Source organism: Homo sapiens, chromosome 11, assembly GCF_000001405.40.
Source record: "Homo sapiens chromosome 11, GRCh38.p14 Primary Assembly".
Lineage (NCBI taxonomy): Eukaryota > Metazoa > Chordata > Mammalia > Primates > Hominidae > Homo > Homo sapiens.
Window position 1 is genome coordinate 74,835,120 of NC_000011.10, and position 12,712 is coordinate 74,847,831.

Below are 12,712 nucleotides of genomic sequence, written 5' to 3' on the forward strand. Positions count from 1 at the left end.
ACTACAGGCACATGCCACCATACCTGGGGAATTTTTAAATTTTTTTGTAGAGATGGGATCTTGCTATGTTTTCCAGGCTGGTCTCAAAGTAATACACCTGTCTCAGCTTCCCAAAATGCTGGGATTACAGCACTTTGGGAGGTATAAGCCACCATGCCTGGACAAGAAACCTTTTTTAAAGCTTTAGATAAGTGTTTTTTCTCCCCTACAGATTTTCAGTTTTATGAATTGTTTGAAGTATATAGGATTTTCTGCTAAATGGTATGCTTTCTAAGTTAGGGATTTTCTCCATTTCTTAGGCTCACATTACCCTTCATCCCTTTTCTTGTCCTCCCCTTCCCTGTGCCTCCACCATCATAAAGGAATGATGAAGGAAAATGTATATGTATGTGTGTATGAAGGCATAATCTTTTTAATCTCTTTCAGGTCACAACTATGACTCCAGCCTCCAACCCCATCATTGGTGTCCTCTTGTCAACTCAAAACAACCGCTGCGTCTCGGCCCCTGACTTAACCATCGAAAAGCGTCTACCCTTCAGCTCCCTTTCATCCTTGGCTTCCCTGCATAAGCCAGAGCGTTCTGTCAGCCCTGAGAGCAATGACAGCATCTCCGAAGAACTAAACCATTTCAAGCCCATTGTCTGCTCACCATGTACTCCTCCCAAGAGACTCCCTGATGGCCGTGTGCTAAGTCCTCTCATCATCAAATCAACTCCACGCAACCTAAACAGAAGCCTGCAGAAGCAGACTTCTTATGAGGCCAGTCCACGGATCCTCAAAAAGTGGGAACAGATCTTTCAGGAGCGGCAGATCAAAAAGACCCTTTCAAAAGCCACTCTTACCTCTCTGGCTCCTGAAATGGGGGAAGAGTTACTAGGCTCTGAAGGTATCCATTCTAGCAAGGAGAAGCCACTTGTGGCTGTAAATACAAGATTATCTGGTGGGCAGGTCCTCTCTGAGTATACTGGACCCACCTCTGCTGATCTTGATCATTTCCCCTCTGTTAGCCAAACAAAAGCAGAACAGGACAGTGATAATAAAAGTAGCACTGAGATCCCACTGGAAACCTGCTGTTCCTCAGAACTCAAAGGGGGAGGCAGTGGGACTTCTTTGGAGAGGGAGCAGTTTGAGGGGTTAGGGTCAACTCCAGATGCCAAGTTAGACAAAACCTGTATAAGCAGAGCCATGAAAATCACCACAGTTAATTCAGTGCTACCCCAAAACAGTGTTTTGGGTGGAGTCCTCAAAACAAAGCAACAATTGAAGACATTAAATCATTTTGATCTGACTAATGGTGTTCTAGTTGAGAGCCTAAGTGAAGAGCCACTTCCTTCTTTGCGTCGAGGCCGGAAAAGACACTGCAAGACCAAGCACTTAGAACAAAATGGCTCCCTTAAAAAACTGCGACAAACCAGTGGGGAGGTGGGTCTGGCCCCAACAGACCCAGTCCTGCGAGAGATGGAGCAGAAGCTTCAGCAAGAGGAAGAAGACCGACAGTTGGCTCTGCAGTTGCAGCGCATGTTCGACAATGAGAGGCGGACTGTGAGCCGGCGAAAAGGAAGTGTGGATCAGTATCTCCTACGGTCCAGCAACATGGCCGGGGCCAAGTAGCACCTAATGAAGTGTTACCTATTTTTAAAAGGTCTTAGGCCTTGATCATTTATCCTGAAGAGCTGAGTGTTCTCACTTTGGTTTTATTTTAATGGCAAAACACTGTCTAATATGGTTCTGAGAGGTTCCAGGGCCTTTGTAGTCAATATCCAAGGGAAAAGCATCTCCGTTTCTCTGTGACCCAGGCCAGAAGCCTGAGTGACCCATCCCTAAGGGCTTCTGGGCCAAACCTGGCAGCACCCACTGGGAATGAGATTTGGAACGGCCTCAGGAGCATAATGGCCACAGTTAGTAATGGTAAAGAGGGGATACCTTCTTAAACTGATAGACTTCCTGACTTCTTTCAGCAGGGTATTGTTTTAAATCAGCCTTGCAGATAAAAATTAATTCCATCTTTTTCAGACAAGTGAACAATTTAGTTCCTTGGCAGATCCAAAATGATAGATGGTTATGTTACGCTTTCTGCTGTCCCTTGCCAAAAATAAGTAAATATATCAGTTAAGATTATGCCTTTACAAAAGTTAATTTACATTCTCTGTTTAAAAAATAATATTTGGTGAATGCTATATAGTTGACAGAGCACATTTACAGACCTTATTAATTTAGTCTTTCCAAGAGACCTCTCATGTAACTGGCATTAGCCCCATTTTTAGATGATGAAACTGCAGTGCAGATGTTCTGGTTCTCTCAACTACCAAGTGGCATAACCCATGGATTTTCTAAAGGTTTCCCAAATAGATCACAACCTAAGGGTGTGCCAGGGGAGCCTAGGGGAAGCTAGGCTGGGCATTGAACACTGATAGTGCAGAATCCACATGCAAACAAGATCGACAGGGTGGATAAACATATATGTGCATTATCCCCATCCCCCACAGTTTAGAGCCTTCTGCTTTTCTGGGGGTTTCAGCCTATGAGACAAACTATAATCAGGCTTCATTATTACTTTTCAAATGGCCAAGGGTTATCTGCAATGTTGATCTAAAATCCTAAAAAATCACCCTGAAGTCAGGCAAGGAACAATACTTAAACTCCATACTATGGAAACAAGGTATCTAGCTGGATGCAGCTGGTAAATTCAGTCCCATGGACCTTTGGGGGTTTATTTTCCTTAGCAGCTGACACCATGTGTCTTTTGCATCCCTGGTGGTGCTTGGTGCTTCTGCCCATCTGGGCTCATTGAGAATAGGGATGAAGATATGATTTTAGGGAATTTCTGATGGGCTGGCATGCCCCATGTAGTATGAGTTACTATATAAAGTCATGTGACTGGCATTTTAACAGACCTTCCAGAGCTTATATATCCCAATATATGTTGTTTCCTTTGAGTAGCCCCAGCAGGATACTGCTTAGTTTTTCCAGTGCCATTGGTGAAAGCATTTCTGGAACTGTCTTCAAAGACTAGAAACACTGACTCCCAAAATGCTAGAACTGGAAGGGACCTTAATGGTTATCTATTCCAGCCTCCTCCTAAGGTCCTCCTCAGCTTCTAGACCTAGAAGCCAAAGTCCAGAACAGTGACCCATTGATCAAGGCAGATAGTATAACTCCTTTTAAGTGTTCTCAGATTTGCCTTTTCTCAGGGCAAATCTTCAGTGTTTTGTGGTTATTTGTGGTTGAGAGAGAGAGAGAATGTAATGTCTGAGACTAGCCAGCAGCTATTTGAAGCCTCTGGGAAAGAAGGTGGCTTATCAAGTGGGTTTGTAGTAATGAGTGCTGCTGTAAAGCAGAGCCATTTTCTTGTGCAGCTCATAGTTCCCAAACAGTTCCCAAACAGAAATTCCAGAGATGTCTTAAACATTGTGGTCATCATTGAGATAGGTGGAATCTCTTTGGTGACTACGTTGGTGGGGAACATCACTCACCTGAATGTATGCATTCTGTGTTCTCTGTGTGTGTGCACATATGCAGATGTATGTTTTAAAAACATTTACCAAACTCATGATTTTGTAGTCACACCACTTCAGTTCTGGGCCCTACCAACAATTTATGTCCTCCAAGAGCTGCTGGAGGGCATGTTTGTGCCCAAAACAGAAGAGCTGGCTCTGGTTTACAGAAGACAGGGAGGGTGACCTTACTATAAATGCCCTTAGAGGAAACTTATCAGTTACTGCCATTTCACGCATTTCCTTTTTGATCTTAGTAAATATTATTGGAAGGCTAGTCTTGTTGGTAGGAGCAAAGACACTTATTTTTCCACTTGCCATCTTTCTCTATATCTCCAGTAATTTGAAAAACACTTTTCAGTTGGAATTGATTTTTGTCTTTGGTAAAAAGAAATATTTTTAATAGATAAAAGATATATATTTTAAATATTTCCCCAAATTAATACTTTCATTTTAAGAATTGCATAGCAGTTGTAACAAGTGCAGAATGAAGAACAAATTCTTGTTAAGCAAATAGTCCAAACTCTAGGTCCAGCTTACTGCCTTCCCCCCTTGTACCTACAGTGATGCCTAGGATGGTATTGACAGTTGTTTTCTAAACTTCCTGCTGAGCAACAGTCCTTCAAATATAGGTAGAGTGGTCTAGGTTAAGGAGGGAGGAGGGTTGATCTTTAATCAGGTTGGCTTTGGAGGAAGGAAAAACCACTAAGGTATTATCTGAATTTTAAGATGCTTCCCATCCTTAATAACTAAAACCTGAATGCTTTTCTTTCTGAAAAATCTCCCTCTCTCCTTCCATGATTCTGAAGTTGGTTAAAAGTCGATATGTTGATGTGTATTATTTGGGGGAACAGAAAAGGACAAGGAAGGAAACAGAACGATGGGAAGGGTTTGTGAGCTAGAATAAGAGGTGCAGGATTTCACAAAACAAATTCCTCACAAATCATTGAAGCCCAGTTCACCATACAAATTACCCATGTCTTACTCTGTTCCTTGTATATATGCATTCTGGGTTTTTTTATTATTAAAGGGGAAGTTAGGGGGGAGGGTGAAGGTCAGTCTGAGGGGAAATCCAGGAAATGTGGTGCCCTTAGAAGGGGGCTGTCAGCTCTTTTCCATAGAGAGGGAAAGAAACTTTGAGAAAATGTTCTTGACCCATTGATTGTATCTGCTGGAAGAAGTCATCTGGGCCTGTTGGGTTGGTATCAGATCAGGGGATTATGCATCCAGCCCCTGGCCCCTTTAATCTATTTGCCTCTTTTTAAAAAAGGTTAAGTCTTCTTGGGTGAGGCTTGCCAGGGAAACTCCTAAGTGGCTTCACTTATTTTTTAAATTTTAATTTAATTTTTAAATTTTTGCTTGGAAGCAGCACTGGTAATAAATGTTTTATTTTTTGTTCATTTTCCCTAAAGGAAAAATGTCCTTAAGAGATTAAAGCTCTTAATTGATTACTGTCTGGTTACAAACTGGCAAACTGACTAAAATGGGAAGCTGCCACCGTGCCTGACTCATGTAGCTGATGACCGAAGGCTCATCCTTTCTTTTCTATTTGACAGACATTTACTGAGCTTCAGACTTGAGCCAACCCTGAGCTGGACTGTGGAGATAAAGCAGTTCCTGCTCTTGAGGAGCTCAATGTCTAATGGAATGCATTTGAATGTATGTGTGGCTGGAGAGTTCATTTATGGTCTTAGGAAAGCCATTTCTGGTCCCATTTAGAAAACTGACCAGCACCCAGCAAGCTGCATTCTACATTTTAGAGACCCCATTGGTATTTGTGAATTTGATTGCACCACCGCTTTTCCTTTACTAAGTAATGTTATGGAAGGAGAATGAATTTTCTCCTCTAGTGATTACAGGACATTAACATCTCTTCAGAAGCTGCTTTTAGCTTAAGCCCCAAGAAGTGAGGTGGGTTGTGGATCACTGACATGGTCAGGGGAGGCCCACACCTCAATTCAGTAACCACCTAATCTCTCCCCCAACCTGATCTCTCATCAGAGCTGGCAGCAACTTGGGATTCCTTTCCTTTTTCCTGCCTAACTTTTCATTGAAATGTCTAGTAGGAGAGTGAGAAAAGAGAACAAAGGCTGGGTCACAGTCATAGAATGTTACAGCTGGAATGGGCATGGAAATCATCCAAGTTAAACTTCTTCTCTGCCCCCCGCCCCCACTTTTTTTTTTTTTTTTTTTTAACCAAACGAACTTGTGATCCAGTGCCCTATTTTATAGTGTGGTTTTCCAGGGTCTGAATAAATAATCATTAAAGTTTGACACACGCAGACACACGCACCAATGATGGGGATACCCCCAAATGATTTAGGAGGTTATTTTATTTTAATAGTTTTTTCTTCCTGATTTTTTTCAGTTAGTTAGAGTTAAATGTACCTATAGCCCCTGAATACATGCTCAGGTAGAGAAAGTCTCCATAGTATAAGTAAGTAATATGAATGTGGAATCTTGGAAAGTGATATATTTTGATTGGAATAATTTTAATTAAATTTAATGATTTTAATTAAGAATTAAAAGCCAGCTAGCCAAATTTTCTTTAAAAATTGGAAACTCATTATGGTCTTAAATTGTCCTCAGGCAGCCTTTTCCTCATCAACCCATAGAGTGGTCTTTTGAACTGGTATCTAAACATACCTGGTTATGAATTCTCAAAAGAGAAAGCAGGTCTGGGGCGGGGTGGTCAGGAGACAGATTCTAGGGAAAGTGCTGAAGAGATTTTCTTCTGAAGATGATCTAGGAAATGCATCTTTATACATGATTGTTAGCTGCTGTAGCTTTCTGAAGAAGATTGTAGAAAAGAGACTAAGATATATGCAAGGGTCACCAGTTTAGAGATCAGTCAAATTGGAAAAAGTGCCAAGACTGGATGTGCAGATTGTTCTATGTATTATCAGTATTTTTTTCCTCTTAAGAAAAAAATTTACTCTCTCTCCTTTGTGAGTAAATGCCTCCTTAATGCCTTTTAAGTAAGGTGGCAACTTTTAACTGTCATCTTGTGAGAGGCAACCTCAAACTCTAAGCAGACTCCCTCTCTCCCTTTCTGGTGTCTTAAATCAAGAACTAGTTTGAAGCCAAGGCAAAGCAAGGTTTGTTCATCTTCCTTTCCTGTCATTTAAGGTAAAACAGGCAATGAACTCGCTCTTCAAATACCATAGTTCAAGAGTAGCTGTTGGCCCTGGTTCCAGATTAATATAGCAGCAGGCAGATTGCCCCTTCTTGGGGCCACCACCCTCCAAAGCTGTGCCACCAATGAGAGCATTGGGTTCAAGTTTGCATCAAACATGGTATTACCAACGCTGAGCCTCCAGCAGAGCACTTAAAAGTCCTAGTGAGAGAATAGATACTATGCAAGGGAAAAAAATTTAAATGCCAACGAATAGTTTTTTTTTTTTTGAACCTGATACACTGTTTGTTTACTCTCAACTCTTTGTACAAATATTATTGTCCTAAGGGCCTTTTCCCCTCCTGCCTAGAAAATAGGTTGTGTATTGGTTTTATTCAACCTGCTGTCTGCTTTAGGATTGGAGAAGGTACCTGGATCCTTGTGGACTGCCACTGCTGGCTGCCTCCTCTCCAACTCATCAGAAGAGCATTTTGACAAAGACAGAGGACTTGGACCAGGGCATGCCCTGTTGGGGATGTTTCTGTCAGCAAGGACATGGCATGGAATCAAGTGGGCTGATGTGTTGTTATTTAAACAGTACCAAAGTGCATTCTTCAATGTATGTTTGCCTGCTTGAAGCAAGGCCCAAGTTGAGAATACAGTAAAGGAAACTCATGAAAGTGGATGTTCTGTTTATAGTCAGAGTCTTGTCTCTGGTGAACAATCTCAGACAAAAACATGGGTTAAGCTTAGGCTGTGTGTGGATTTTTGGTGCTGTATGTGCTCTGGGAGATGCCCCATGTTGGATGTCTTGCTTTGGCATTCAGAATGGCAGTAGAGATTAGGAGCAGGGATGGGGTTTCCATGGTGTACAACTACGTCTTTTGGCATAAGTTATGTCCAGTTTACAGTTTGCTCCAATTTACTGTCATGTTCACATTCAACCATTCATGCTCCTAATGAAGGAACCAAGAAAGAGTCTGAGTAAAGAACGAATATACAGGATGACACTGTCCCTGCACATTAGGGCTGTACTCACAAGATCTGGTTTTTAAAAATACCCTTTTTTGGAGCCATTGTTCAGGAATTTGTTAAGATCCCCTTGGTGTCAGTTTCTCATACAACAGAGAACAAATGTATCCCTGTTGCATCTGAACTGGAAAACCATTTTTAGAGGGAAGTGTGACAATGCTGCTGTGGCCTGGGTTCCAAGAAAGAATGCATGTGGCACCCAGTCTATTGCCCTGTGCACCCACTCTTTATTGCCGCTGGGCCAGGCACCAGGTCATGCCTGGGCCAAGGAGGGGAGATCCTGACAAGGGGATGCCACCTTGTGGCCAGCAAGTGGGGCCCAGCTGAGCTCTGAGGCCTGTGGCCGGCTGGTCAACCTTGAGGTGCGGTCCAGGGCACAGAGCCCTCGGGGAGAGCTGGGGCACAGGCCGGGTGGTGCACACAGCCCCCATGCACAGCTCTAGCCTTGTGAGTCACTGGCTGTGGGCTCCTGGCAGAACTCATCCATGAACTCGAGGAAGTGGCCGAACTTGGGCTGGCTCTCACTCAGCGCTGGGCAGGCCATGGGGAGCGGGGTAGTCCCGAACACTGTGCGCAGAGAGCCACTCACCAGCTGCCGGTAACGTGCCTGGAACTCCTTCAACAGCCTCTTGGCCTCCAGGTACTGCTTGTGGTTCACCAGCCGCCGTTCTGTCCACTGGTGCAGGACAGCACCTGCAGGAAAAGAAGCCAGGAGAGGCACCAAGCTCATCCTGGTTCTCACCTAGCCAGAAGCAAGAGGATTGGGTCCAGAGACCCTTGGAAAATGGGATGGTGTGGCAGGAGGATGCTAAGGGGCTAAAAATGGCCTTTCCAGCTTGGGAAGTCACTGACTTCCTACTGCCCCTATGCATTGACTCTATCTTAAGCCCTGGTTCAGGACCTTAACATGCTGTGTGATTTTAGGCAACTCCCTGCCTCACGCTGGCTCTCCTTTTGTCCATCTACATGTAGAGACTGATGTAGGCAGTTGCTCTCTAAGGGCCTTTCCTGCACTGACACAAGCCCTTTCTTTGCCTTTAGCCAGCAGGCGTGAACTGGATCTGGGATCCTGGCAGCTGTGGCAGAGCCGTACCTAGTGGAGCCTCTGTAATGTTCCGGGGATCCCGCAAGCGAATGAAGATGTCATCCAGAAGTTGGGCTCTAGTCTTCTTTGGGGGTGGAATCGGGATTCTCTGGGCCTGGCAGAAGGTCATGGAGGAGGGTGTTATCCCAGGTTTATGCACAGACTTCCCTGGCCTAACTTCATACAGTCACAGCAACAGGCTGGGGGGCATCTGGGGGTGCTGGGAAAGCATGGCCCTCAGAGGGTCCCAAGGTGACAGCCACATCTGTAATTGTGGGCGGTACTCAGGGGCCATTTACACATTCAGTGAGCTGGATGTTTACCCGTTTCTCTTTGTGAACATAGGGTTTCTGAAGAGTGTCCAGCTTGGGCTTGGAGGAGTGGCACAGGAGTGGGTGCTTCAGCATTTGTTGCAGGGCTTGTGCATTCTTCTGGATTCCTAGGGCAAGAAGGCAAGACTGAGTCAAGGCACTTCCCCCTCCTCCTCCCAGATGCCTCCCCTGATTGCTTCATTCCTCAGTCTCACAGCAGCTCTAGGTAAAAGGATTTGAGAGTCCCCAAAAGAAAACACTGCCCCCAGGTTTCTTCCGGATCTGTTCCAGTGCCTGAAGTTCCATCATTCTTCAGTGAGTATTTGTCCCATATTATAATGGAAAAATAGCACAGATTGTAATGGGTAAATAGTATTGGAGTGGGGGAAAAGGCTGGCTCCAATGTGACCCCATTAACCTCAGGGGGTTATATCGCAGGGGCTAACACCCAGAACAGCCCAGCTGAATGCCAGTTGCTTTGGAAGTACTGATTAACACAGAGATGAAGCTGCCTCCTTTGCCTCCAACCAGATAGGAACGATTTTGGACGTTCAGTTTGGGAACTTAACCTGGGCTGGGAAAAGCTCAAGAATCTGGCCATTCTGGGTGTTCATTCATCACACTTTTCCTGAGGAGAGACTTTATCATCCAGAGCAGCTAGGCTGAGACCAACTAGAATCTCTGAATAAACTGTGGCTCCCCATAAGCCAGTGAAGGCCTAGGCCAGGACAGGGGTCCCAATATGTGGGGCTTCAAACAAAGGACACCCTAAAAGGAGCCCTTTGACAGGTATTTAGACAGAGGACAGCACCCTAGTTGGGAAAAGACAGCTTGGTGCCAGCCTTGGCTTGACCCTGACTTGCTCTGAGCTGTGGAGATGGCCTCTTGCCCTAGAGCAAGGATATGCCCTCACATACCCTTTGGCTCAATGAAGGCTGGATCAGGCTTGGCTGTCAGCAGTTCTTCATAGCCGTGGTACTTGCTGGGAAGGAAGGCAGTTGGGAGTTTCCTCCGAGTCCCTTTCACCTCTCTGGGTGCCGTTGGTGGTTTCTTTTGGTCTTTCTCCTTTAACTCTAAATCATCCTTATGGATGACGGAGGAAGGCAGTTCACTCACCTGTGCCCAGGAAGAAAACGCATTCATTTGTCACTCATTCATTCATTCATTCCATGAACATTCGGAGTATCATCTCTGTGCTGGTCTCTGCTGGGCCCTGTTAAGGGCAAGGGTAAGACCAAGACTGGGATGGAAGAAAGCAGATATAAAAATAGACAATTGATAAATGCTTTAACAGAGGGAATACAGTGGTTTTGGGTGATCCCAGAGGAAGCCCCAACCTAGCCAAGAAGCTCCCTTGGAGGAATGCCTTAGCCTGAGCTAAGTCTTGAAGAGCCAGGAGAGCCATCCCTACGGAGCAATGGGGAGAGGTGTGGACTGCAAGTGATGAGAAAGAATGATTGTTTCAGACAAGGAACAGCACGAGCAAAGGCGCAGAGGTAAGAAACATCAAGGTGCATTTTCGGGGAACTAAAGATTGGTACAGTTAAGTACAAAGTGAAGAGATAGGCAACTGCAGTGGTAAGCAGGACCCGGATCGGTAAGGACCATTATATGCCAAGCTGAGGGTGCGTTTTATTTTGTATTTTCTTTATGCTCACTCTGATGGCAAACCATGGAGGATTTTAGCCTATCCTAATGGCTTTATAAGAAATCTGTATGTCATGTAGGGATGTATTTATTTATTAAAATTACTCACCAGGTGGGGTGGCACATGCCTGTAGTCCTAGCTACTCAGGAGGCTGAGATGGGAGGACTGCTTGAGCTCGGGAGCTCTAGGCTGTAGTGCATTATGCTCCTCGAGTGTCCACAGTATGTTTGGCATCAATATGGTGACCTCCCAGGAGTGGGAGACCACCAGGTTGCCTAAGGAGAGATGAACTTGCCTAGGTAGAAAATGGAGCAGGTCAAAACTCGCATCCTGATCAGTAGTGGGATGGTGCCTGTGAACAGCCATTGCACTACAGCCTGGGCAACATAGTGAGACCCCACCATGTATATACGTGTGTGTATTTGTGAATATATATTATATATACACACGTATGTGTGTACATATATATGACCTATAACAAGCAAAAAAGCTGAATTAGCAATTTTTAAACTTCCCACAAAGAAAAGCCAAGGACCAGATGGTTTCACTGGTGAATGCTACCAAACATTTAAAAAAGAATTAACACCAATACTTCACAAACTCTTCCAAAAATTAAAAGAGGCTTATTCTCTGAGGTTAGTATTACCCTGAAATCCAAACTAGAGAAAGACATCACAAGAAAGGAAAAATACAAAGCAGTATCACTTATGAATATAAATGCAAACATTCTCAAAAAATATTAGCAAACTGAATTCAACAAGTAAAAGGGATTATATACTATGACCAAGTGAGATTTATCCTAGGAATGAAAGGTTGGTTTAACATCTGGAAATCAATTAATATAATATATCAAAACCATATGATCATCTCAGTAGACATAGGAAAAGCCCACTCTGTCATGATTAAAAAACACTCAAACTAGGAATAGAAAGTAACTTCCTCAACCAGATAAAGATCATCTATGGAAAACCCTCACCTAATATCATAATTAATGGTGAAAGACTGAATGCTTTCCCCTTAAGAACAGGCACAAGACAAGGAAGTCTGCTCTCACCACTTCTGTTCATCATTGTATTAAAGGTTATAGCCAGGACAATTAGGCCAGAAAAAAAAAGATTTTTTTTTTTTTTTCTGAAAACATGGTGACTCATAATTGATTGTATTGCTTTGGCCGCTAGGAGCTCAGAACTGCATTTTGTCAAAACACCTTTATTATAATAGCAGCAGTGCATGATGTGCATGTTTGAGTGACAGAATTACCCTTGTACTATTTCCTTTCCTGTCCGTATTTTCTTTTCATCTAACTCTCTCAAATTGTTTCTTTTAAAATGCTTATTTATATTCTGCATTGCTCCAAAAAGGTTCTGAGATATTTCTTTAAGATACTTTTATACTGTATAAATTTATATGTCACTATAAGTCATCTGTGGAAAAAGAAATAGATGGAGAGTTAGACCTCCATGAATGGATAGATGTACATCCTGGAAAGATCTGGCAGTGAGCAGACTGGAGGGGCAAGACTAGAGGCAGGGAGATCAGGGAGAGGGATGGTACAGTAATAAAGTTCAAGGGGGCCCTGCCAACTCTTCTAGCCTTATATTACCCTTTGCCACATGCCACCCTTCTGCTGCACTGACACTAAACATTTGTGGTTTCTGCATGTACCATTTTAATTTCCTTCCTCTATCCTGTTTCATGCTGTTTCCTCTGTCCAGAATGCCCTTGCTGCTATATCTTCACCTTTTTAATTCCTACTCAGCCTGTAAATCTCAGCTCAGTTGAGCCTCTTCCAGGAAGCCCTCCTGGGCTGGGGCAGAGGCATCTCTCCTTCCTCCAGACTCCCAGCCTCTGGGATTCCCTCAGTCTCAGCACTGATTGCATAAGCTGTTCCTGTCTATGTTCCCCATTATACTGAGAGCACCTTAAGGGCACGACCTGCATCTGATCTATGTTCCCAGGATCCAGAGGCAGCATCAAAAGTGAGGAGACCTGAAGCAGAGAGGTACAGGCAGCAGCAAACCCCTCTGA

At 43.9% G+C, this 12,712-nt stretch overlaps 2 protein-coding genes and 1 pseudogene across 72 annotated transcripts in view, besides 1 other annotated feature; 2 read left to right on the forward strand and 1 right to left on the reverse strand.

The window, feature by feature from the left end:
* The window catches only part of RNF169 (ring finger protein 169), a 93,565-nt gene extending 86,271 nt beyond the window's left edge, over nt 1-7,294 (forward strand). For all 3 annotated transcript variants that reach the window (XM_011544889.4, NM_001098638.2, XM_047426707.1), the window contains exon 6: nt 427-7,294. In XM_011544889.4, the coding sequence (XP_011543191.1) occupies nt 427-1,611 (1,185 nt within the window). In that variant the 3' untranslated portion in view covers nt 1,612-7,294. The remainder of the gene's footprint in view (nt 1-426) is intronic.
* XRRA1 (X-ray radiation resistance associated 1) overlaps nt 5,791-12,712 on the reverse strand; it is a 108,182-nt gene continuing 101,260 nt past the window's right edge. For 45 of the 69 annotated variants that reach the window (NR_165439.1, NR_165438.1, NR_165437.1 and 42 more), the window contains 4 exons: nt 9,954-10,152; nt 9,049-9,164; nt 8,735-8,840; nt 5,791-8,334 (listed from right to left, as the gene is read on the reverse strand). Coding sequence is in view for 63 of the 69 variants with exons in the window: in XM_047426401.1 (XP_047282357.1) it covers nt 8,081-8,334; nt 8,735-8,840; nt 9,049-9,164; nt 9,954-10,152 (675 nt within the window). In the remaining 6 variants the exon portion in view is untranslated. The remainder of the gene's footprint in view (nt 8,335-8,734; nt 8,841-9,048; nt 9,165-9,953; nt 10,153-12,712) is intronic. The other 24 variants (NR_165436.1, NR_165434.1, NR_165435.1 and 21 more) reach the window with 1 other exon arrangement.
* Nucleotides 8,734-9,933: an enhancer, noted in NCBI's record as "BRD4-independent group 4 enhancer chr11:74554898-74556097 (GRCh37/hg19 assembly coordinates)". NCBI's record gives its function as "activates an origin of replication core promoter dependent on BRD2, P300/CBP, MED14 and CDK7 cofactors, and independent of BRD4, by STARR-seq in HCT116 cells {active_cell/tissue: HCT116}" and the evidence as "EXISTENCE:reporter gene assay evidence [ECO:0000049][PMID:35650434]".
* Nucleotides 10,791-11,090, forward strand: RN7SL239P (RNA, 7SL, cytoplasmic 239, pseudogene; annotated as a pseudogene).